Source organism: Homo sapiens, chromosome 1 (assembly GCF_000001405.40).
Source record: "Homo sapiens chromosome 1, GRCh38.p14 Primary Assembly".
NCBI classification, from domain to species: domain Eukaryota; kingdom Metazoa; phylum Chordata; class Mammalia; order Primates; family Hominidae; genus Homo; species Homo sapiens.
The window spans coordinates 156,495,898-156,518,017 of record NC_000001.11 but is presented as its reverse complement, the minus strand read 5'-3'; the positions used below and the strand labels follow the sequence as shown (position 1 = coordinate 156,518,017).

At 51.9% G+C, this 22,120-nt stretch overlaps 1 protein-coding gene across 19 annotated transcripts in view, besides 10 other annotated features; it reads left to right on the top strand.

Annotated features, from left to right (window-relative positions):
* Positions 4,132–4,338: a silencer, noted in NCBI's record as "fragment chr1:156483472-156483678 (GRCh37/hg19 assembly coordinates)". NCBI's record gives its function as "represses an EF-1alpha promoter that drives an FKBP-Casp9 reporter gene in an ReSE screen in K562 erythroleukemia cells {active_cell/tissue: K562}" and the evidence as "EXISTENCE:reporter gene assay evidence [ECO:0000049][PMID:32094911]".
* Positions 9,796–9,845: an enhancer, noted in NCBI's record as "active region_1870". NCBI's record gives its function as "activates an Ori minimal core promoter by ATAC-STARR-seq in GM12878 lymphoblastoid cells {active_cell/tissue: GM12878}" and the evidence as "EXISTENCE:reporter gene assay evidence [ECO:0000049][PMID:35858748]".
* Positions 9,956–10,005: an enhancer, noted in NCBI's record as "active region_1869". NCBI's record gives its function as "activates an Ori minimal core promoter by ATAC-STARR-seq in GM12878 lymphoblastoid cells {active_cell/tissue: GM12878}" and the evidence as "EXISTENCE:reporter gene assay evidence [ECO:0000049][PMID:35858748]".
* Positions 12,475–12,877: a silencer, noted in NCBI's record as "fragment chr1:156474933-156475335 (GRCh37/hg19 assembly coordinates)". NCBI's record gives its function as "represses an EF-1alpha promoter that drives an FKBP-Casp9 reporter gene in an ReSE screen in phorbol 12-myristate 13-acetate-treated (for megakaryocytic differentiation) K562 erythroleukemia cells {active_cell/tissue: K562(+PMA)}" and the evidence as "EXISTENCE:reporter gene assay evidence [ECO:0000049][PMID:32094911]".
* Positions 13,379–13,458: an enhancer, noted in NCBI's record as "active region_1868". NCBI's record gives its function as "activates an Ori minimal core promoter by ATAC-STARR-seq in GM12878 lymphoblastoid cells {active_cell/tissue: GM12878}" and the evidence as "EXISTENCE:reporter gene assay evidence [ECO:0000049][PMID:35858748]".
* Positions 13,569–13,618: a silencer, noted in NCBI's record as "silent region_1429". NCBI's record gives its function as "represses an Ori minimal core promoter by ATAC-STARR-seq in GM12878 lymphoblastoid cells {active_cell/tissue: GM12878}" and the evidence as "EXISTENCE:reporter gene assay evidence [ECO:0000049][PMID:35858748]".
* Positions 15,986–16,765: an enhancer, noted in NCBI's record as "H3K27ac-H3K4me1 hESC enhancer chr1:156471045-156471824 (GRCh37/hg19 assembly coordinates)". NCBI's record gives its function as "activates a minimal SCP1, AML or CMV promoter by ChIP-STARR-seq in primed H9 embryonic stem cells {active_cell/tissue: H9 hESC(primed)}" and the evidence as "EXISTENCE:reporter gene assay evidence [ECO:0000049][PMID:30033119]".
* Positions 16,795–17,444: a silencer, noted in NCBI's record as "silent region_1428". NCBI's record gives its function as "represses an Ori minimal core promoter by ATAC-STARR-seq in GM12878 lymphoblastoid cells {active_cell/tissue: GM12878}" and the evidence as "EXISTENCE:reporter gene assay evidence [ECO:0000049][PMID:35858748]".
* MEF2D (myocyte enhancer factor 2D) overlaps positions 17,243–22,120 on the top strand; it is a 37,049-nt gene continuing 32,171 nt past the window's right edge. For 8 of the 19 annotated variants that reach the window (XM_047421004.1, XM_047421009.1, XM_005245169.5 and 5 more), the window contains exon 1: positions 17,243–17,532. The gene's annotated coding sequence lies outside the window, so the exon portion shown is untranslated. Of the gene's footprint in view, positions 17,533–18,137; positions 18,587–19,917; positions 22,092–22,120 lie in introns of those variants that run through there. The other 11 variants (XM_047421005.1, XM_005245170.4, XM_047420994.1 and 8 more) reach the window with 7 other exon arrangements.
* Positions 21,139–21,639: an enhancer, noted in NCBI's record as "H3K4me1 hESC enhancer chr1:156466171-156466671 (GRCh37/hg19 assembly coordinates)". NCBI's record gives its function as "activates a minimal SCP1, AML or CMV promoter by ChIP-STARR-seq in naive and primed H9 embryonic stem cells {active_cell/tissue: H9 hESC(naive and primed)}" and the evidence as "EXISTENCE:reporter gene assay evidence [ECO:0000049][PMID:30033119]".
* Positions 21,830–21,999: an enhancer, noted in NCBI's record as "active region_1867". NCBI's record gives its function as "activates an Ori minimal core promoter by ATAC-STARR-seq in GM12878 lymphoblastoid cells {active_cell/tissue: GM12878}" and the evidence as "EXISTENCE:reporter gene assay evidence [ECO:0000049][PMID:35858748]".

Sequence of the window (22,120 nt, the reverse complement as noted above, 5' to 3'; positions counted from 1 at the left end):
TTGCAGTTAGGGAGAACTATATGACTAGTTTAGGCCAATGAAAGGTGACTGAAGCACAGTGTACCATTTCCATGCTTAGGCAATAAAAATCCCATATAAGTCCAGGCACAGTGACTCACACGTGTAATCCCAACACTTTGGAAGGCCGAGGTGGGAGGATCGCTTGAGCCCAGGAGTTTGAGGCCAGCCTGAGCAACATAGCAAACCCCATCACATGTTTGTTGGTTTTTTTTTTTTTAAGAGGCTTTCGGTCTGTTGCCCAGGCTAGAGTGCAGTGGCATGATCAGGACTCACTACAGCCTCAACCTCCTAGGTCCAAGCAAACAATCCTCCCACCTCAGCCTCCCAAGTAGCTAGGACCATAGGCATGTGTCGCCACATTCAGCTGAATTTTTTTTTTGTGGGGCGGGTAAGGACAGGATCTCCCTATGTTGCCCAGGACTGAATGGATCCCCCACCTCGGCCTCCTAAAGTGCTGGGATTACAGGCATGAGCAACCACACCTGGACTTTTTTTTTTTTTTTAAGAAAAATAAAAATTTTAAAAGTATAAAAAGGCTGGGTGTGGTGCCTCACATCTGTAATCTCAGCACTTTGGAAGGCTGAGGCAGGTGGATCACCTGAGGTCTGGAGTTTGAGACCAGCCTGGCCAACATGGTGAAACCCCATCTCTACTAAAAACACAAAAATTAGCTGGGCATGGTGGCAGGCGCCTATAATCCCAGCTACTTGGGAGGCTGAGGAAGGAGAATCACTTGAACCCAGAAGGCGGAGGTTGCAGTAGCCAAGATCGTGCCATTGCACTCCAGCCTGGGCAACAAGAGTGAAACTCCGTCTCAAAAAAAAGAAAAAGAAATAAAAAGTATAAAAATCCCATATGCGATTCTCATATCTTTCTTTCCCAGATATGGTATCTGTGTTCCAGATGGTGGAGCTAGAAGATGGTAGAGCCTCTATCAGCCTGGGTCCTTGAGTGACTATGTGGAGCAGAGCCTCCCCTACTAACCTGAGTGTGACATGTGTCATGAGCTATCACCAGCTGGTAGCAACCCGGAAAGAAAGACAGCCACTATCTGCCACTGAGACTTATTACGTTAAGCTACTGAGACTTGGGGGATGGTTACCACTACAGCATAACTTAGCCCATCTGGCCTAATACAGAAGAGCTTGAATTTTTTACTCTGTGTTAACTGAGTCAACTGTTTCTTTGAAGAAGGGGAAGCATCATTGATTAGTTTTTATTTATTTGATAATTAGTGAATGCAGCAGGTTTTCTTTTCTTTTCTTTTCCTTTTTTTTGAGATGAAGTATCGCTCTGTGCCCCAGGCTGGAGTGCAGTGGCACAATCTCGGCTCACTGCAACCTCTGCCTCTCGGGTTCAAGCGATTCTCCTGCCTCAGCCTCCTGAGTAGCTGGGGCTACAGGCACAGGCCACCATGCCTGGCTAATTTTTGTATTTTTAGTAGAGCCAGGTTTCACCACGTTGGCCAGGCTGGTCTTGAACTCCTGACCTCAAAGGATCCATGATCCACCCACCTCGGCCTCCCAAACTGCTGGGATTACAGGCATGAGCCACTGCGCCCGGCCCAGCAGGTTTTATTTTCTAAGATGTCCATAACAAAATCTCCGCTCCTTCATGCTCTTCTTATAGGGGCATTATCCGTCATCCCATTGAGAGGGGGCATCCACAGTCCCTCCCTTTGAATCTGGGAAGGCCTCTAACTACAGTGAAAGTGAGGTTATGTGACTTATGGCTTCCACCTGGTCCTATGGGCCATTTGCTCTGGGAACCCTACTGCCACGCTGTGAGGAAGTTGAGGCCACATGGAGAAGTCAACATCTATATGACGTTCCTGTTGACCTTCCCAACTGAGGTCCTAGCTGACAACCAGACACATGAGGAAGCCTTTGAGATGACTCCAGCTGCTGTCTGCAACCACATAAGAGACCTGACAAGCAACAACTGCCTAGTTTAGCCCAGTAGAGCCCAGGACCATAATAATAATGAAAGAATGTTGTTTTAAGCCTCTAAGTTTTAAGGTGGTCTGTTACACAGCAATAGATAAATGGAAGAGTGGAGCTGAACATTTGACACTGTTTTAATCTAATATATTCAAGTGTTTTTGCGCCAATAAGCCACCTTCTTGCCAAATCTGACTTTTCTCTTTCCAGACAAAAGTGCTAACCAGGACAGGGCAATGGATGGAGCTAGCAGTGATATCTCTCCAAGCTGACGCAGATTTATTAACAAGATTTTCTGGGTATAGCTGTTCCATTAACACACAGTAGGCATTCACTGACTATTTGTTAAACGAATGAGTAATGCTGTCCATGTTCCTGCATCTTTTTAAAAAGATAATATAATCAACCTAATGAAATGCTTTCATAAAATTCAGATGCATTATGCAACACTCCTCAGAAATACCATCTATTAAACCCTTTTATTATAAAAAGCCTACAGCAATTTTTTTCTGAGTTCCCTTCTCATTAAACAAATGAAATAATGTATATATCATCTCAATGTAAAAGATTCAAGTCATATGTACAAAGTAAGGTAAAATATATCTGCATCTTCCCCAAAAATAAGCCTTATTGATAATTTGGTATAGATCCTTCCAGGCCTTCTTTCTATACATTTGCCCTCATATATATGTTCATATTCTGGCAGAATGTATTTTCCAAATATGGCCACGACATTTCCCATTCCATGGGCTCTTCGAAAACCCTGAGGTTTGGAGCCTCTCCATGAGGTGGAAGGCTCTGTCCTCTACCCTAGAACATGAGCAGGCCTCTGTGACTGCCTCCACTAATGTATGACAGTGATGCTGGGTGACACCCAAGGCTAGGTCATAAAAAGCAATATTGATTCCCCTTAGCTCTCTATCTCAGAATAATGTCCTTGGAGCCCTAGTCCTCCTTGTAAGAAGGCTGACTACCCTGAACCACCGTGCTGGAGAGACCACAAGGACCACAAGGAGAGACCAGAGAGAGAAAGAGACTGTAGCTGTTCTGGACTCCACCTGCTTGAGTGTTCCCAGCCTCGGTGGCAGACATGTGAAGAAGACTTTGAGACCCCCGATCCAAACCCTGTCAGACTGCAACAGCATGAGACTCTGAGGGAAAATCACCTGGTGGAACCCAGTCAATCCCCAAAACCAAAAGCAGTCATTGCTGTTTTAAGTCACTTAGTATAGATAGTTGATGAATACACACATACCTATACATGCTTATTTACATAAATAGCCTATTCTATAGATTGCACTGAGAATTACTTTTTTCTTTTTTCTTTTTTTTTCTGAGACAGAGTCTCGCCCTGTCACCCGGGCTGGAGTGCAGTGGCACGAACTCGGCTCACTGCAAGCTCTGCCTCCCGGGTTCACGCCATTCTCCTGTCTCGGCCTCCTGAGTAGCTGGGACTACAGGCGCCCGCCACCACGCGCAGCTAATTTTTTGTATTTTTTAGTAGAGACGGGGTTTCACCGTGTTAGCCAGGATGGTCTCGATCTCCTGACCTCTGATCTGCCCGCCTTGGCCTCCCAATGTGCTAGGATTACAGGCATGAGCCACCGCGCCTGGCCTTTTTTTTTTTTTTCTTTTTTTTGAGACGGAGTTTCGCTCTTGTTGCCCAGGCTGAAGTGCAGTGGCGCAATCTCAGCTCACCGCAATCTCCGCCTCCGGGGTCCAAGCCAGTCTCCTGCCTCAGCCTCCTGAGTAGCTGGGATTACAGGTGCCTGCCACCATGCCCAGCTAATTTTGTTTTTGTTTTTCTGTTGTTTTTTTTTTTTAAGACGAAGTCTTGCTCTGTTGCCCAGGCTGGAGTGCAGTGGCTCGATCTCTGCTCACTGCAACCTCTGCCTCCTGGGCTCAAGCAATTCTCCTGCCTCAGCCTCCCGAGTAGCTGGGATTACAGGTGCCTGCCACCATGCCCAACTAATTTTTTTTTTTTTTTTTTTTTTTTTTAGTAGAGACAGGGTTTCACCATGTTGGTCAGGCTGGTCTCGAACTCCTGACCTCAGGTGATCCACCCACCTCAGCCTCCCAAAGTGCTGGGATTACAGGCGTGAACCACCACGCCCGGTCCTAATTTTGTATTTTTAGTAGAAACGGGGTTTCTCCATGTTGGTTGGGCTGGTCTTGAACTTCCGACCTCAGGTAATCCACCCGACTTGACCTCCCAAAGTGCTGAGATTATAGGCGTGAGCCACTGTGCCTGGCGGCTGCTTTTTGCTTTTTGCTTTCTTTCTTTTTTTTCTTTTTTTTTTTTTTTGAGATGGAGTCTCACTCTGTCACCCAGGCTAGAGTGCAGTGGTGTGATCTCGGCTCACTGCAACCTCCACCTTCCTGGTTCAAGCGATTCTTGTGTCTCAGCCATCCAAGTAGCTGGAATTAGAGGCACCTGCCACCACACTCAACTAATTTTTGTATTTTTAGTAGAGACAGGGTTTCACCATGTTGGCCAGGCTCGTCTCGAACTCCTGACTTCAGGTGACCTGCCCGCCTTGGCCTCCCAAAGCACTGGGATTACAGATGTGAGCCACCATGCCCGGCCTGAGACTTGCTTTTTTCACTAAACAATTTGTCTCTGGGACCATTCTGTCAGTGGGCCCAGATCCAGTTCATGCCTCGTAAGGCTGTGCAACATTCCATAGCACAGATGTTCCATAACACAGCACAGACGATTTTCAAACATCTTTGGCTGTGGCCCGGCTCTTCAAAGGAAAGTTTAGTTGGAAGCCCACTGTGTAAAACAAGTGAACGAAACCATGGGGCAAAGGAGGCAGAACCCCGCCCTGCACAGTGCCCCTCCAATCCTCTCCTGGAGGAAGAGGTTCCTGAAGGAACTTTTAGCTTTCCATGGCACCTTTACAATCACTCACCTACTTATAGGGTTGAAGAACAGGTTACGGGCTGGGCACAGTGGCTCACACCTGTAATCCCAGCCCTTTGGGAGGCTGAGGAGGGCAGATCACGAGCTCAGGAGTTCGGGACTAGCCTCAACATGGTGAAATCTTGTCTCTACTAAAAATACAAAAATTAGCCAGGCATGGTGATGCACCCCTGTAATTCCAGTTACTCACGAAGTGGAGGCAGGACAATCGCTTGAACCCGGGAGACAGAGGTTGCAGTGAGCTGAGATCGCGCCATTGCACTCCAGCCTGGGTGACAGAGCAAGACCGTCTCAAAAACAAACAAACAAACAAACAAAAACGAACAGGTTATGGTGTGCATCTTGGTCTTGAATGTACATTTGACTCATCTATGCCTCTTGTTAAGTGCAAACTGTGATTCACAGGTGCGGAGTGGAGTGGGATCCTCTTGACGTTCTGACAGTCTCCCAGGTGATGCCCATTCTCACTTGAGTAGTCGGGGATTAATTAGTGAACCCCATCTAGCTCCTGATGGTCCCTCTTTTTTTCTCTAACCTTCCACAACAGTTGTGGTAATGAAACCCCAGAATTTTGAAAATATCTTTCCCTCTTCTTAAAGATTAGAACCTCCTATTTTCATCTACAGTAGTTTTACACCTCTTGTATTCTCCAAAATTCCTCACACACCAGGGACAATGCCACCACAACCATCTGGGCAAGTTCCCTCGGTGCCTCTGGTGAACTTCACGGGGTGGAGATAGGAAGTCACTGAACAAATGGGGCTGTAGATTTGATTCTCACATTTTCAGAACTCCAATTCTCTTATTTCCACTTTAAACATCTGTCTTAGGAGAGAAATGGGAAGAAAATAGGAGTTGGGAGTTCTATTCACTCTGTCATCTGTCACCATTACTCTACCTGCTCCAGCAGAGGTCCCTTTTTTGGCTTTTCTTGAAACTCTTGCTCCAAAAATGACTCCCCACCCCAGTGCCCTCCTTCCACCCCCCACCCCCACGCCCCCTTGAGAGAGAGCCTTTTGCTATCCTTTGCCTGTTCTACAAACCTCTGCCAGGCTTTGGGCTTCCTGATACTATACCAGCAGATTTGCACCCTCTTGAATTTGTTCTTGCTTACCTCTTCCTCCTTCTGTAGAGGATGGAAGGAGAGGCGCCATCCATTGCTGCAAGGCAACGAAGTACATTGCACATAGTTTACATGATCTATTGTAATTTTGGCAGCACCTCATGAACATTGCTGTCACATCATCATTGAGAAAACCGAGATTCAGAAAAAGCGAGTGACTCACCCAAGGTCACACAGCTGGAAATGACTGAGCTGGGATCGGATCTCAGGTCTGTTTGACGCAATCTTCTCTCCCCACCTTCTCCAAATCTGAGCAATTGAGAGGTCCCTGGGTGACCGGATCTTTCAGTGCCCTTTTCTGTCTCATTAGCACTTTTTTTATTTTATTTATTTATTATTTATTTATTTATTTTTTGAGATGGAGTCTCGCTCTGTCGCCCAGGCTGGAGTGCAGTGGCGCAATCTCAGCTCACTGCAACCTCCACCTCCCAAGTTCAAGCAATTCTCCTGCCTCAGCCTCCCAAGTAGCTGGGACTACAGGCATGTGCTACCACGCCCGGATAATTTTGTATTTTTAGTAGAGACGGGGTTTCTCCATGTTGGTCAGGCTGGTCTCAAACTCTTGACCTCAGGTGATCTGCCCGCCTTGGCCTCCCAAAGTGCTGGGATTACAGGCATGAGGCACCGCGCCCGGACTTCATTAGCACTTTCAACATTGAATTTGTGAGGGTATTATTCTAACACTCCTCTATGGGTTGAAATCCCAGAGCCACTTTGTGCTGTATGAACATGAACATGCTCCTTCAGTTTCACCATCTGTAAAATGAGGCTGATCGTTCTTTGTCAGATGTCAGACAAAGTATTATGGGCTATTGTCTGATGATGAAAATAGTGTACACAATGCCTTTCAGAGTGCCTGGCATAAAGCAGGAATGAAAGCAAAACAAGCCTCTACCCTTCTTGTCCCCAACTTGGCATCGTTCTCGTGGGTCAGGAATAAGAAGGCCTCACATTGCCCCTGTGTCTTCTCGGCAACGCAGCCTCTGGGGTGTGTGAGATGGAAGACTCAAAACTTCCTAGCCCTTAGTGAGAGAGGGAGAGGGCTGAAGCACACCCTGTTCCCTGCGGAATTTGGGGACCGTGCCAGGATGGACTGCAAGAAGCTATTCACCAGTATGTGCAGCATGTGTGAGTGTAGCGTCTGATGGGAGAACGGGAGCCTGCCAAGATACCAGCAAGGAGACAGGCACTGTGGAGGAGGGGCTGGGTGTCGGCCACCACGGAACCCAACCCTCATCATTTCCCCAGCGCCCTGGCTGGCACGTCACGAGTGCTTGATCCATGCTTGTTGAATGAAGGTGCGCTCTTCTGGACAGGGGTTGAGGCAATGGAGGAAGTGACAGAAAAAGGGAGGCAATGGCCCTCTGTCAACCCTGAGCTGCTCCTCACGTTTACAGGGCTACAGGCCTGTTAGAGATGCAGTGAGGCGGGTGACAGGGTCAATCGACGAGTCTTTCCCTCTTGATCGTTACCTCATTCAAACTCCAGTCCACCAAAAAACAATAATAAAAGAGAAGAAAAATAACGGCATACAGTGCAGCACTTCAGCTTTGAGGACACTGAGAATTCCAGCAGATGGCTGATGGGTGTGGGGCCCCTGCTGCCCTGCCACCTCCCTTCTGTGTAGGCTCCTTGGTAGCCTCTGTGACTGGGAGGCTGCCCCAGGGTCCAACCGGCTTCCCTTCCCATTCTGTCGCCTCCCTACTAAGTTTCCGCCCTCAGACCTTTACACTTCCATGGAAGTTCCTACCTTTTAGCAGACAGGCAAGTCCTCGACCTTCCTCCAAGATTGATGTGAAAGATGCTCACCCTTGTCTTTCATGCCCTAGCCCCTGCCCTCTCCAACTCTCAGTCTATGGAATGTCACACAGGTTTGCATGCACAATCGCAGCCTTCTGGAGGATTGTGAGCCAATTCAACAGGCTTCTTGAGCGATGGGTACATCCCTCCTCTGTAACTGTCTTGGGGAGGATGGGAGAGGGAGCCTTGAGCTTGATCAACCCTTTACTGTCTCCCTGCCTCCCCCATACCGATGGTGCCAGGGTCTCCTCCTAGGACCTCCAGGTGCACAGCCTCTTGTTGCTTAGCGACAGCGTACCTCTTCCCCATACCTCAGCAACCTCCCCCAGCAGCGCAAGGAGCAGCTGTGAAAGGGAGAGCTGGGCTGGACCTCGCAGGAGCTGCCACTGCTGCTGACGGAGATGTGTGGGAACAAGCCCCAAAATAGGCCTGAGTGTGAAACCCAAGGCTTTTTTAAATACTCAGGTCCCACACTGACTCTTGGAAAGCCCTGCCATGCTCCCCTGTCCCCAGCTTCTGCCAGGCTGCTGCGTCTCCCTCCCACACTGGGCCTCTTACTCCACTTCTGTGCTCTCGGCTGTCTGCCCCTCTGTCTGCCGTGGGTCTCTGGGTCTGCTCCTGGGGTCTCTCCCTCTCTTGGGGCTCAAGTGTCACTTTTGCTGCCCCTTGTCCTTCTGCCCATCCTATAACTCCTGTCCATGTGTGGGTCTCTGGGTCTCTGTGGCTGCCACAGTCTCTCTTGCCCTTCTTCCTGCTCAAGCTGTGTAACTGCCAGTCTCTCCCTCACTAGCAAGAATCCCCTCATTCCCACCCTCAAGGGCTGCTTATTGTGACAACCCCACATTGCTAGAGCCACCATGACTATAATCCTTTGTTACTACCTTTTTAGGAAAGGCCTGTGGTAGGAGGGTCACAGAAGTGGCCCTCAGGGAGACCTGCCTTTCTCACTTAGCCTGCCCTGTGCTTCTGTTTCAATGGAAACTGACATTGGACTTCAGCCTAGTCCAATTAGAAGAGGACCAGGCCCAGAAAAGAAAAGAAGGACTGCCTTACCTCCATCCCTTCGGCTACCATGTCAGAGTTCCAAAGAGAAGCTCCTGAAGAGGCTCAGCACCCGTGACAGCCAAGAACTGCCCCACCCAGAACAGTGTTCTCCACCCCCAGCTGATGGTGATGCCACCCAAGGGCCTGGTGCCATCTCTGTGTCCACTAAACTAGTCCTCTGCCATCCCACCTCCCTCCACTGCTGATGTTTGGGTCTAATGATATTATCTGTGGGTTAAGAATCCTGAACTAGGGAGCAGGTTGGCAAAGGGACAGCTGAGAATAAGTATGGCCAGAGTCAAGTGGGGTGGGGTGGAGGACAGCTCCCAGGCAGGATAGGGGCTGGAGGGGTGCTGAAGTGAGGGCACAAGGGAACTTTGGGAGGGAGGCCTGGGTTCTGCCTTCTAGCAGAGGAAGCAGCGAAACAGCAGAAGGAACTTTTAGGCCGGAGGCCGGACCAAGTGACCTCACCCAAACACTGTGGTCTGCTGCTATTGCAACCTGGCGAGCCTCCCAGCTCTCCTGGGTCCCCAAGTAGGAGAGCTTTTTATAGTTCACTCCCCAACTTAGGTTTGAATAATTAAACAAGATGGACAGAAATAGCAGCCGGACAGTGAAAGCAGGTTATTTTGGGGTTTTCTGGAACACAGTGCTCCTGGGTGTCACCCCACCCCTGCAGGGGGGCGGAGCTAACATCAAGGCTGATGGGAGATTCCTGTGGGGGGAAACCCACCCACACCCCCAGGGTTCCTTGTGTTGAGGAGGTTGCTCTCAGCCAGAGGAGGGTCTCACCATTTCTTCCTCCTCCTCAAGGAAAGAGAGGGCTCTCACTGCCTTCTGATCATAGCTATTCCCCTGGCAGGAAGTCCCTCCTGTTGCCTGTCAGGCCTTCTACTTCTGAGATGGTGACAGATATTGAAAATCAGATCGATAAGCAGCTGCAAGACAGGCTGAACAAGGACAAGGTGGCTACTGCTCCTCTGGCCAAGGAGCCGGAACCAGGTGATAGGAGGTCTCGTCCCCCCTCCACTATAACCACTGGGGAGCTGTGGAGGGAATGAAGGTTGGGGTGGGGAGTGGGAGCCAGAGCTAGGGACAGGAGAGGAACTGGCTCGGGGTCGAGGAGTAAGATGAGGCTCCAGAGAAGAAAAGCTCAAAGGTGGGTTAGTGTTTGGATGAAAAGCTCCCCTTTTCCAGCTCTCTTTTAGTGTCCGCTGTCCTTGGCAGAAGCCCAGCCTGGGTTTCTTGGGACAGGGTTTCAGTAGCTAAGCCGGGGATGAGGAGAGGTCAGAAGCCCCCTTTCCCACCCAGGTCTTCATCGCAGACCAATCCTCTGTGACTTGTTTGCATAATACAGTACTTTTAGTTCAACTGCAGAGATTAACCTCAACTCTACCTTGAGGTTCTACCACAGAGCCTTAAAACCTGGGGCACAGAGGGGCACAACAGGTGGTAAGGGGGTATTTATAATGTTTTCTTCCTTTGGATAACAACTTCAGATTTGAGTTTGGAGGTCAAATTTCAGGGAATACTGAAATTGTTCACATATTCATTTAATGTTTTAAATTTTTATTTAAGAGATGATGTCTCGCTATGTTACCCAGGCTGGTCTCAAACTCCTGGGCTCAAGGGATCTTCCTGCCTCTGCCCCTGAGAACCTGGGATGACAAATGAAAGCCACCCTGCCCGGCTTCACTCTGTCATTTTTATTCATTTTAGAAACTTTTTTTTTCTCCTTGAGACGGTGTCTCGCTGTGTCGCCAGGCTGGAGTGCAGTGGCGTGATCTCGGCTCACTGCAACCTCCGCCTCCCCAGTTCAAGAAATTCCCCTGCCTCAGCCTCCTGAGTAGCTGGGACTACAGGCGCGGGCCACCACACCTGGTTAATTTTTTTGTATTTTAGTAGATACGGGGTTTCACCATGTTGGTCAGGATGGTCTTGATCTCCTGATCTCGTGATCCGCCCGCCTCAGCCTCCCAAAGTGCTGGAATTACAGGTGTGAGCCACCGCACCCGGCCTTTTTTTTTTTTTTTTTAAATAGAGACAATTTCTCACTATGTTGACCAAGCTGGTCTTGAACTCCTGGCCTCAAGTGATCCTCCCATCTTGGCTTTCCAAAGTGTTGGGATTACAAGTGTGAGCCACTGCACCTGGCCAAAAACATTTTTAAAGCACCAATTATAAGCCTTTATCCCCCAGCTTGATGCTGGGGAGTAATTCAGGATGGCAAGGTCCTTGTTCTCAAGAAGCTCACACTTTAGTAGGGGAGAGGGCCATGTTAAAACCTACCCCCCACAATTATTGAATGCTTACTATGCAACAGGTACCATACTAGAACTTCACAGAAATGGTTGCATTTAATTCAAACAGCAAGTCTAGGTCTAAGTAGCATTAACCCCAAAGGACAGTTATTACAACTAAGATGAAGAGACTTGTCTAAGGTCACTCAACTAGTAAACAGTATTAATGGAATTGGAACCCAAGTTTATATTATTCCTAGTTCTGTGCTCTTAACAACTGCTCTCATGGTCTCTAATGCATGGAAGGAAGCAACAGGTTTATTATTTGCTGTGAGCGTTCAAAAGACAGTTCAATTGTCTTTAGCTGAGCGTGTTTGTGCTATGCATGCTGGGTGGAGCAATCAGGGAAAGCCTCCTAAAGGAGGTGGCTTTGCATTGGACTCAATGGATCAGTTCATTCATTCTACAAATACTGTGCATCCGTGGATTCAACCAACCTTGGATGGTCAATATTCAGAAAAAAAATTGCATCTGAACAGACCTTTTTTCTTGTCATTGTTCCTTAAGCAATATGGTATAACAACTATTTTCATAGCATTTACATTGTATTAGATACTATAAGTTATCTAGAGATGATTTAAAGTGTATCGGAGGTGGCGCATAGGTCACATGCAAATGTTACACTATCTCACAGATTCAGCAGATTTTCCTATGGGAGATGTCCCGGAACCAATACCCCATCAGGTAAGGAGGAAGGACTGGACTTAAATTGAGTCCCTACTACATGCTGCGTTCTAGGTGCTGGCAACACAGAAGTGAACGAAGTCCTTGTGCTTATGCACATGCGGGGCAGGGATAAGGGAAAGGCTGAAATTATGACTGGGCGAGTCTTAAATGCCAAGCCTCCACTTTCACAGTGGTTCTGCTCCTCCTGCTCCTGGGTTTCTCTCCCATGAGCAAATATACTCTCCTACTCTGGGAAGTCCTTCTAAACGTCTACCCTGCATTTCCTTTTTCTTGTTTTTGAGATGGAGTCTCGCCCTGTCGCCCAGGCTGGGGTGCAGTGGCACAATCTCGGCTCACTGCAACCTCTGCCTCCCGGGCTCAAGCGATCCTTCTGCCTCAGCCTCCCGAGTAGCTAGGACTACAGGCGCGCGCCACCACGCCAGGCTAATTTTTGTATTTTTAGTAGAGACGGGGATTCACCATATTGGCCAGACTGGTCTCGAACTCCTGACCTCGTGATCCGCCCGCCTCGGCCTCCCAAAGTGATGGGATTGCAGGCGTGAGCCACCGCGCCCGGCTCTACCCTGCATTCCTTTCTGCTCCAAGACATTTCCCCACATCCCATTTCGTTCCTCCCAAGCCAAGTCTCATAGCCAAAACCTGGCAGGCCGCGAGCGTCTGGCCCTTTAAGTCTGCCTTCTTCCCCCCATGTGCCGTCTGGTTGGGCTGGCGACGCTGACGCACGCGTGACGTCAATGGCAGCTGGTGGAGTCTGGGCACGAGGAGCGAAGTTGGGATGGGGGTGGGGGGGCGAGAGAGAAGGCGGTTAATTTGCATTTAAAGGGGCCACTCCCTCGTTAGCGATCAGGGCTTTAAAGAAATGCGTATTCGGCAAACTTTCTGTCCTGGGTTATGGGGCAAGAAAAAGGCGTGGTACAGCTGAAGTCGGCGGCGACTAGAGTTTGCGATGACAATTATGTCCTTCCGCGGAAAGGGGGAAATAGTCCGTCGGTGCCCTGGCTGGGAGCACGTGACCGGGAGGGGGCGGATGTGGGGGGGGCAAGAGAGAAGGAGGGAGGAGCTGGTGGGGAGACGACTGTCAGGCTGTGTTTCAGCTGCCCCCACCCCCACATCCTGCCCACTCTCCTGCAGCTGCCACCACATCCTGCCCAGCCGGGGGCAGGGAGCTTCTGTGGGGGTGATGCACTGACCGAGGACCCGGCTTTGGCACCCCCTCCCTGCCCGCTTCAGCTCCAGGGTGGGCCGTCTGCCCTTTGCCCCAGGCCTGGCCCCAGGCACCCTGGCCCTGAGCTTGGGGCACAACTCTGCCGGTTCAGCCTGACACCTCTCTGCCTGACTCTGCCCTTTCCCCTCAATTCTGGCCTGAAGTGGGACTTGTGCGGGGTGGTGGGACAGGCCAGACCACAGCCCCATCCTCAGGCTAGCACAGTTATCAATGGACAAATGAGATGTTCAATAAACGTTTTTATAATCTGAACTCAGATGCATAGCTGCACACACACACGCACACACAAATACAGATTCGTGTTAACACATTTGCTGAGCGCATTCTATGCCAGGTCCTGCAAGGCCCTGAAGACTCAAAGTAGAGTTAGATTGCTGCCCTCAAGGGGCCCAGGATCTGGTGAGGAGTGTGTACAGAGGAGGCAGATACACAGAGTAGAGTGCACTACACAAGCAGGTGCAGAATAATACCCAAGTCCACACAGAGCATGTATACACAGAACTGCTGTATACCTGCTGATGGCCTTTCCTCTCACAAGACAAGGTGGCAGATGAAGGGACTGCCGGGATCAATTGAAAACTGGGGGAAAAATTATCAGCTAATGGAAGGGATGAGGTGGATGGACATAGGGGGCTGGAGATTGTCCAGATGGCTGTAGGGAAGGTGAGAGGGGGCCAACCAAGCTGCCAGACAGATTAGAGGCTGGAGCAGCAGTAATGGCTTCCCGGGGCTATGGGACAGGCAGGCAGAGAAACGGCCCTTGGGGCATGAGGATGAGGAAGACTTTTACAAATTAAGTTGGATTAGGTATGCTTGGGAAGGGGTGAACAAAAGGAGTTGTCTATGTCCCTTTGCCATATAAACTTACAAAGATGATATGGTGGAGAGGAGTTTACACACACTTTTAAAAGACTTCAATGAGCATGTAAGTGTTTGATTCCTAAAGGATTTTATAGCAGCTTTGGCCTGTTAGGTAACTTTTCTCTAGGAAAGATGGATGGGTAGCCAGAGTGGGAGGAGGAAAAATGAGACCGAGGCATCTGAACTCGCTCAGGTATTTCCTACCCAGGGGATTCTGGAATGGGAAATACAGGGGCCAGAAGAAAAAGATTCAGTGAGTCACTTTCAGGAAGTCCTTATTTCAATCTAACTTCCAACAACATTATTCCCTAGACCCTTTATTACCCTTCCATGGGAATTAAGGCCCTGTGTTTGTTACTTTTGCTCTCCCATTTAGTTTTCTCTATATTCTAAATTCTATCCCACTTGTAGTGTCTGTCTTTCCTACTCTGTTCTCTAGGGAATTATGGCAGCATCTTCGGGGTCCAGCACACTGCATCTCACCCACTGAGCTCTTCCCTCCTTTCCCTTTTCCCTCCTGCTCCTGGCCCTTTAAAACCCTCCCCAGGTGACTCACCTTCCTTCCTCATTCCTTTGTTAAGGACCCAACATTCCAAGACTGGGAGGATCAATCAGCCAATCATAGCCCTGGCAAGCCTACCTCAGGCTTGAGATTGGTTGGAACTGTGGTTGGCGGGAGGCTCACCACGCTGGTATAAAGGATGTTGGGGAGGGGGTTTCTGGGAATCGGCCCTGGGCAAGAATTTGTTCTCGGGTTGGTTAGTTTTTGTAGAGACTCCTTCAAGTAGAGCTGGAGCCAGAGGGTTCTTCGGCTTGGAGAGCCTCGAAACTGGAGGTGGCTGAGAACCCAGCTCTCTTGGTCTCCTGGGGGCTTGGCTGACCCCTGCCCACTTTCTTTTGTGTGTGTGTGTGATCTGGGACCCAGGGGTCTGACGGCTGAATTCCCAGGCCTGATCCTAAGAAGTCTTTTCCAGCAGCCTTGGATCTCTTCAGTCTCAACATTCTGCTTTCCTGACGTCGGAAACAGCCGGAAAATAAACACCCTGATGACTAAACGGTTTCTCCAGCTAGAGCCTAGGGAAGCACTAAAAATAGAGGCCACAAGTGAGGGGAGGTTCCCCACTTGAGGGGGGTTGGCACTTTCCCATCCTGCTACTGCCACAGCCTCAAGCCTGGCACAGGGCTCTGTTCTTCTCTGTCCTTGGGGGAAGAGGCAGATGGGCTCCCCCTGCCTACCCTGAAGTCTTTTGGGCAAACTAGCCCTGCCTGGCAGGGGTAACTCACATCTTCTGGTGTTGGGGCCCCAGCCTCCCAGATCCAATGAGGAACTGAGAAGCTGTATTTGGGGACACGGTGGGACACTGTTTCCTGAAAGGGGGGGGTCAGGTAGAAGGGTTGGAAACTGAGGCCAAGGAAGTAGGAGCTTGCTGGCTTCCTGTCTTAGGACACACAAGATAAGTCTCCAACCTATTTGCAGAGCAATTCCACTGAACTCACCTCCTTTAAGGCTTGCATGAGCCAATGGAGGCCTAGAGGGTTCTTTGCAGACCAGCCCTTGGCCCAATGGTCTGGTTTGGGTTATTATACAGCATAAGACACTGTACTAAGCAATCTGCTTAGAAGAACTAATTTAATCTTCACACTAAATTTCTGAGTTAGCTACTATTATCACCATCTCTAGTCATGGTCACCATGAGGTAGGGGAAAGTTAAATAATATGCCTGTGTTCACAGCTAATGAATGGTGGAGTGAGGATCTGAACCAGGACAGCTTGACGGCAAAGTTGACATTTCTAACCACAATGACATGTTGCCTCTCTCTATATATTGGAGTCTTTGTCCGGTAAATCAGATCCAGCCAGAAATCAGGGTGTGTGTCTGGGCGCGGTGGCTCACGCCTGTAATCCTAGCACTTTGGAAGGCCGAGGCGGGCGGATTGCTTGAGCTCAGGAGTTCGAGACCAGCCTGGGTAACACGGTGAAATCCCATCTCCACTAAAACACAAAAAATTAGCCGGGCGTGGGGGCGTGCGCCTGTCGTCCCAGCTATTCGGGAGGCGGGAGGGGAGGCGAGGCAGGAGAATCGCTTGAACCTGGGAGGCGGAAGTTGCAGTGAGCCAAGATCGCGCCACTGCACTCCAGCCTGGGCGACGAAGAAAGACTCCGTCTCAAAAAAAAAAAAAAAAAAATTCGGGGTGTGTGAAGAACTGAGTGAGTGCCCTTCTGTTCTGCAAGGTTCTTTGAGATCTAAGCCAGATGCCATCATTTCCTTACGCTCTTGGGAGAAAGCAGCAGGACTTGGAAGTAACAGGGATGCTGAAGCCTGACGGGTCAGTTGTCCAGTAGGCATGGCACCCACACTCCTGTTGTAGGGCACGTAAATATTCACCACACCCTGGAGCAACCAGGAATATAAAAATAAAAAATTTTAAAGAGCTACTACTGCTTCTTTAATAAGACATTTCTGGGTGTTTACTGTGCGGCGGGAGGTGGGGAGGAATTAGGGTCCCGCCCCTTTAAATTGCCCCCTCGGCAGTAAGTGCTGTGGGGCCCCGCAAGCACTGGAGATTAGGTCACCCAAGAACTATGAGCTGTCGCTTTAAATTGCTGGGCGTCTGCCGAGCCGGGCCCTGGGACCGGAGGGGGCCTGTCACAGGTAGAGGGAGCAACTGAGCTCCCTAGGTAACACCCCCCAACCCCAAGAATGTCGCCCGTGAGTGGGGCTTTGTCACACACCAAGTGGGGGAGATGGGAGCTTTTCACCACTTCCAGTCTCCCCTTAATTTATCTACTTAGACTCCCACCTCCCAACTCTCCTGGGGCCCGGGGCCGCGAGGAGGTGCCGAGGTGGCGCGTGTTGAGAGTGTGCGTGCAGCTCGCACGGCCTCCCCGGAAAGGACCTCCTGGAGCACGCGGTGGCAGCAGCGCCAGGCGGGCGGGCGGGCGGCCGGCGTGCTCCGAGGGGCACCGTGGGAGCGGACCGATCCCTTTAAAGGCCTCTGGGTCTCGCCTCCCTACTTTGCCTCGCTTCGTCCCTTCCTCCCTCCCTCCCGGCAGGCGGAGGGATCCGCCGCTCCCAGCGCCGCAGCCTAGCTTGGGAGGGCGGTGGGGTGGGGGCCGACCCGGCCTGGCCCGGCCAGCCCTGGGGAAGCGAGGGGCGGGGCCGCGTCCTCGGGACCGCCCCAGCCCCGGCTCCGCCCCGCCACCCCCACAGGTGCCTCCCATTGGCCCCCACGCCTGTCCGTCACCCCTTTCCCCCCACCCCTCAAGCTAGGCTGAGCTGTGCCTACGTCGGCCTCGACTCCCGGGGGCTGGAGGAGTTACCTTTGGAGCCCGAAAGGAGGAAGGAAGCAAAATATCAACAACAGCCGAGGCGGCTCAGGCGCTCGGCCCCGGTTCCCCGCTTGCCTGCCGCCCGCCTGCTGGCCCCCGCGCCCACGACGGGGGCCCAGGCCTCACGGCGCCGCCCAGGGCCCGCGCGGACGCCGGCCTCATTTATTATTCTCCCCGCCCGGAGCTGCGGCTTCCCGGTGTTGAAGATCCCCCGGACCAGGGGCGAGGGCTACCCGCTCTTTGCCGTGACAACACCGTTCCCCCAGCCGGGCTGGTGAGTAGAGAAAAATAATGCGCCTGCCACTTTAAGAGGCCCCCTCCCCCACCCGGTCCAGGGGTTGGGGTGGAGGGTGGTCTAGACCGTCCCCCTGAGGGGTGGGATGGGGCAGCCCCCGGGCCGGGAGGAACTCGCGAAGCGGGCCGTGTTTTCGTGTGGCGTTGGCGGGGATTACCTAGGGGACTGTTTGTGTCAGGGAGTCTGTCGTGGGGGACAAGTGGAGTGGGCTGCAATTCCCTTGGGTGTTGGGAGTACGGGGTGGGGACGGGCGGATTGGGGGCGCGCCCGCCTGTTCGTGTAGGGGGTTTACGACGGCCTCCGAGCGGTCTGGGACGGGGCGCCATCCTCCGAGGGGGTCTCCGGTGACAGTCGGGAGCGACTGACATTTTAACAGCCGGCCCTCCCTCCCTCTCCCTCCTCTCGCCGCCTGTTCCCTCCTCCTTGGCCCGAAATGGTGCAGAAGGGGGCCTGGGAGGGCGGCGGGAGGGTGGAGGCGGGGGGAGCCGCAGCTGTTTGGGAAGCGGGGGAGGGAGGGGGGATGTTGTTCAGATGACACCGGGGTAGTGGGTTGGGGTGTGTGAGTGTGTGTGTCTCCGGGGCCCGTGTTTGCCGGGTGCCTGTGGAGTTGGGACGCGGAGTCGCCACGAGGTGGGCACGCAGGACCCTTCCTTGAGACCTCCTAGCCCCGCTTCCGAGACCCCTGATGTGGTTTGTCAGTAACCCCAACTGGAGAACTCCCTGGCCAGAAGTTTGCAGCTGTTCAACATCTGGGCAAGAGTTCTCTAGTCCTTTCCACCTATGGCAGGCGGAGCTGGGCTGCGAGCGGGGGTTTAGGGAGTTTGGGGGGGCTTTTGGGAGGATGGGCCAAGGAGACCAAAATGCTTTTAGTCCCCCACTCCAATGCCAGCTTCTCTCCTACCAGGTTCGGGTCTTAGGGGGATGGGGAAAGGGGCCCCCTCCCCCTAGTGAATCACGCTGTCCTCTCAGCAGCCTTCCGAGGACTCCTCCTGAAAGGAAGGCACTCTAGAAGCCACCGACCGGGTTATCCCAGGTTTGCCCTTCTGAATGGGAGCCTCCCTCTGCCTCCCATTGCTTGGTGCATTGTTGATGGGTTGGGGGAGGGTATAGCGGGTTGGGGGGGATCCTGTGTCCCTCTTTGCTGTGCCCAACCCCCATTTGAGTTTTCCTCAGAGTCCTGGTTTCTTTGCTTTGGGGTGGAGGTGGCCCTTATCCACTCCTCCTCCTATCCCTTCAGTGGGTCTCCGCAGCAATTCAGGGTCCAGCCTAGACTATGGGAAGTTTGCCGTCTGGGGCGGTGACCTTGGGCTGCTCTGGCCTGGAGATAGGAGGGGAGCGCAGGTCAGCCTGAGATTGGGTGTTTTGGCGTTTGGGAGCTGTCCACCTCCCACTCCTCTCCCAACCCCAACAGGAAGGTCTCAGTAGCTGAGGAGAGCATTGAAAAGGCACATGTCAGTGTTCACAGATGTCCACCCGCTTGTGGCCACGGGGTCACACCCGCCCCAGGACTTAGTCTGGCTGTCCCAGCTCCCACGGCCCTGCCTGGGAATGAATTTCCTTCCTGTGGTTTCCCAGTGTGTTGGGCAGGAGATGGGGGTGGGGTAGGACTATTGTGGGAGTGGCTGAGGACCTCTTTATACGGGGTGATTGGGGGACACTGGAGCTTATATGGAGCTCCTTCCCCACTTGCCCCAGCATAGGCATTTGGACCTTTGGGTCTCAGTGATTATATTCTCTTTGTTGTAACTCCCCTGCCCCCGCCAACACACCCTGTATGTTTGCATATGTGTGTATATGTATGTGTGTGCATGTACATTTGTAAAGGGAGAGGTCTCTGGTCTCTCTGGGGGGAAGGGGGGGAGGGGGGAAGGGAGGAAGGGAGGAGCTTTTACTCACCCCTGTAGGGACCCAAAAGGTTGAGTTTTTTACCTGAGATCACACAGCAAATCTGTGTCAGAGCTTTCGTCTTTCCACTCTTTTAGGCACAACTTCATAGTAGGGAGGGATTCTGGGAAGGGAGACATACAGTCCGTGTTCATGGAAGCCCCAGTCCAAGGGAAGAAGCAGGACCCAGAGAGCCTCATGATCCTTGTGTTGGGGGATGGGCATGGGGAATTGGCTAGAGCTTCTGTCTGCTGTACTCAATGCCTGAAAGATTGGTGGAGGACTTGGAGGGGTGGCAGGTGCTGTCCGTGTCCACCCCACTCTGTGCTTGGTGCCCCTGGGCTGGAGGGCCTGGGCATCCTGGCTCTGCCCCCTTGGCTCCTGGTTCTTCTCATAGGCTGGGAGATATGATAGTCTTTCTGGCTGCTGTTATATAATCTCTCTGTAGCAGGGTTTTTTTTTTTTTTTTTTTTTTTTTTAATCTTTCCTGGGAGATGTGATAGGGAAGAGAAGCCAGAGGGAGACTCTTCAGGTTGGGGGGAGCTAAAGGAGCAGTAGTAAGGAAGCTTGGAGTGGGAGGTGCCTTGGCCCCCGAGGAGGCCTTGGGGATAGGCCCTCATTGATTATGGCCCAGCCCCTCAGACCCTTCTCCTCTACCGTGCCCTCAGAGGGTCCCTCTGCTGTGGTCGTCCCTGGCTCTTATACCCCCAGAGAGGCCTGGACCTCTCCCCATTTTGTCAACTTTCTCTTCCTGACCAGCTGGGCCCCCTGCTCTCCCTGGTTGGCACTGGATCCAGAATCTCAGGACTTACGCTGGCCTGGTGTGGGCCCTTGGTTGGACACTTTGCCACACACCTGAGTACCTTTATGGGGACAAGGGAAGTCCAGGAGCAAGTGGGTGGGCCCAACATTTCCCTAGTTCTATTTGAGTCAGGCCCCCTGCTTCTTTGCCCCTCTAGTCGAGAGAGTGGTGGCCTTACTGGAAAAGAGGAGTTGAGGGCCTTGACTTAATACAGGCCTTGACCTCTTGGACACAGGTCATCGTTGGTGTTCATCAGGTTCTATAAGTGGGTATGAGGATCCGATGTGAGCCTGGAACCCATCATCAAGGGTCAGGTTCTGAGTCTCATGGCACTGTGGTGCTGGGATTCTCCCCATCCCACGGGACCATGGCTGGGACTCTCGAGGCTCTCTCAGGCCAGCTGGTTTGAGGCAACTATCTCTTTTTTATAGAGAAGGAGGAAATGGTGGCAGGCCGGCACAACCTCAGCATCACTGTAATTGCTGGTGGCTTTTATGAGCCAGTCATGGGGCCGGAGTCCGGCCAACTGTCTGTCCTTCTGTCCCAGTTTGGTGACTTACTCATGGAGGGAGGGGCGGTTAGGTACTAGAAGCTGTGTTCTAGAAGCTGGACGTCTGACTGTATTGTGGTCGATGTCACTCTGTCTATCCATGATCACAGCAGGTAGGATGGAGCTTAGACTTCAGGAAGAACTTCCCAGTGGGGAAGCTGGGGGGGAGAGAGATGGCTCTAATTTTGCATAGGAAAGGAGGGGAACTCAAAGCACTTTCTTTTCCAGTGGCTCTCCCGAAAGGAAAGGCCTTGACCTTTGGCTTGGTGGGGTCGGTGCTATTTGGATCTCGGAATATTTATCTTCTTTTTCCTCTCCCTGCTTATGGCTGAAAGTATTCTGAGGCGTTTGTCCTGGAGCTGTGGGAGAAATAGCCATTAGGCCCCTTTCCCCCAGTAGTGGGAGCTAGATAAGGGTCTCATGTAGACAGGCATGCCCAATGCAGTCCACAGCATTTAGTGGTACACATGCAGGAAAGTGTGCAACACATACACACTGGTATGTAGACACCCACAGAGCAGCTGCTGCACTGCGGGAGGTGGGGGGTAGTGAATGGCAAAGATGATTAAAGGATTGGAGAGTTGGGATGGGGTTGAGGGGACCGGAGGCAAGAAGGCGAAGGGCATAGCAAGAACTTTGAAGAGAGAAGGGCTGACTGGAGCAGGAGGGATTAAGGTTAGACCACAGATGGGCAGGCAGAGCCCTGTCTGCAAAATAAAGAGCATGGCTTGTGAGTCAAGGAGCCTTGGCTGACTTCCATCCCTGCCCCTTACCCCTCCCCCACGTGCCCCTCTCTGTGTTCCTGGCACAGCCTGCCTCTGCCCCTCACACTGACCGTGTGTCCCCGGGTCCCTCCTCTTGGGCCCCAGCTTTCCAGATGTACAGAGTTTCGCCTTTCGGTGATTAACACCTGGGTGTTTTGGTGGTTTGTCGCTGGTCTCTGTTGCCCTCCCCGCTCACCCTGATGAGCAAGGCCACTGTGAGGCATCAAGACTACATCTAAGCCATCAGGCATCTGGGGGTAGATCCTTGGCCTAGGTGATCCCCAAGGCCCTCTTCATCTGACATTTTCCTTTTCCTGAGGCTGAGGCTACAAGCCTCTCTTTCCTGAGAGCCAAGTTATGCTTCTGGTTAGTCCTGGCTGGTGTGGAGACAGGGGAATGCATTCATTGATTCTGCACAGGACCCTGATAGCCAAGGGGGCGGGAGGCACTTGTGCCTGTCTGACTTCTTTTCTTTCTGCTGTAGGCTGGGAGGGGAGGGACATGTCCGAAGCTCTGGCCTGTCGCTGGCCACACCCAGGTGGGACCATATTTACTCATTTAAACTTA